We start from the raw sequence: 1,913 nt of genomic DNA on the forward strand, positions 1-1,913 counted from the left end.
GGGTGAAATAACTTAGAAGTTTATCTGCAAGGCAAACAAGTAGCTGGCCTTTTGCAGCATTATGCTTTTTTCTGAAATCACAGGTTAACAAAATAGAGTGTCATCTATTATAATCTGAAAGAACAAGAACTGTATGAGATATAGCTGTCACATTCAGATATGGGAATGTTCTTTATTAACAGCTTCTTTGCATTAGATGTCTCATTAGGAGCCTGCTTATCTGTGATGGCCATATAAATAAGATGGATGGCAAAGAAATAGCTGTAAATATAATGGAAATTTCAGTTATAGCAGTAGGACATTTGTGACATGCACTCTGATGTCACATAGCAAAGTTGTATGGTGTTTGTTAACCATAGTAAAGGCAAAGAAGTACACAGAAAATGAATTTAGAATGGGCTCAGAATTGAGGTTTATATTTCAATTACATTATTTGCTTTTTGAGAAAAAACTGAAGACTTAAACCTCATCTGTTGAGATCTGGTTTCCATAATTTTGAAGTAGAAATAATGAAGGTTTTGCTTTCTATGCCCAAAATACTATATTAAAGTGTAAAGAAGATAATGTGTGTGAAATATTTCTGTAACCCATTATAAGGCCAGAGTAGTTTCCATCCTCAAGGATGGCATGTGTTTCTCCTTTAGCTAACTAGTATAGAAAGAGCTAATTTAACCCTATGTTTGAGGGTTAAATTAACTCTTCATCTGAGGATCAGTCCAGTCTGCCAAAACCAACAGATTCATGTGTGAATAGCAAGATAGTAACTAGTGATCTGGCTACCCAATTGCTACATAAAGGAAAGATGGCTGGCCCTATTGTAACGTGCTCTGTTGTCCTTGCTCTTCTGCCAATGGTGGATCTCTGAACCCTGTATGAAATTATGTAAGTTATTTGGAATTTCAAATGTGTCAAGAGTTGTGCGTGTGCCCATCATGTTAATTTGCATTCAGCGAAACTACTTAGTAATATTATTTCATCATTAATTGTCTAGAGATAGCTTAATTATTCACAACCCTGGGTTTGACACAGGATTTTTTTGGTGCCACTTTGCCAGCTGGAGACTTCTGTGGCTGCTGGTGCCACTGCCCGGGGTCTTGCTTGGCCCCAGGCTCCCCGCAGGAGGTACTCCACCCACTTGGCCTGGCTGGCTGCACATGGCTTGTTTTCTGGCCCAGATCCCATGCTCACCTTGGGATCTGCACTCAGCCTGCAGCTGGGCTGGTTATCCTGTGACCTGCTTCCACCTTGGGCGCTGGTGTCTGGACAAGGGGAATGGGGTGGTGCTGGAGAAACTCAGACACCAGTGACCGCAGAGCCCCAGAGTGCATGTTATTCCCACCATCTGCTTGGTGGATGGGGGTGTGTTAACAACTCTTTCAGTTCCATTGCTCCGACCTGGCCCGCGACTCCTGGGCTGGGTCCTGAGGCTGTTTCCCATCATGTGGGGCAACCGCCTGGTGGTAGCAGAGAGGGAGGAGGGCTACAATGTTACAACCTTTTTCATACCTGCATTCCGTGGTTCCCGAGTTCTAGTTCCCTGACCAAGAAGAATGAGGTTATGCTGACAACTGGAGGGTGAGCAGAGCAGAGAGTTGTATTGAGCAATGGAACAGTTTTCTGCAGAGAGGGGACCTGAAGGAGACGGCCCCCTACCCAAAGTCAGGTAGCTCCCCAAAGTGTGGCTGAGTCCAGGGCTTTTATTGGCTCCAAATGGAGGAGTGAGTGATAATTGTTTTGTGAGTATGAAAAAAAGATGAAAAAAAAAGGCTAAAAAAAGCCAGCACTCAAAGATGGGCACAACAATGTAAGAAACTAATTAAATAAGGGTAGGTATATGTAAAATAGTGAAGAGAGGGGATCAATAAAAGGAAACTGCACCAAACAAGAAGAGAGGTTCTCAGTCTGGTCCACGG

The 1,913-nt window shown here is 43.0% G+C and overlaps 1 annotated feature.

The window, feature by feature from the left end:
• Nucleotides 730-1,252: an enhancer, noted in NCBI's record as "H3K4me1 hESC enhancer chr4:59925530-59926052 (GRCh37/hg19 assembly coordinates)". NCBI's record gives its function as "activates a minimal SCP1, AML or CMV promoter by ChIP-STARR-seq in primed H9 embryonic stem cells {active_cell/tissue: H9 hESC(primed)}" and the evidence as "EXISTENCE:reporter gene assay evidence [ECO:0000049][PMID:30033119]".

This window comes from Homo sapiens, chromosome 4, assembly GCF_000001405.40.
Source record: "Homo sapiens chromosome 4, GRCh38.p14 Primary Assembly".
Lineage (NCBI taxonomy): Eukaryota > Metazoa > Chordata > Mammalia > Primates > Hominidae > Homo > Homo sapiens.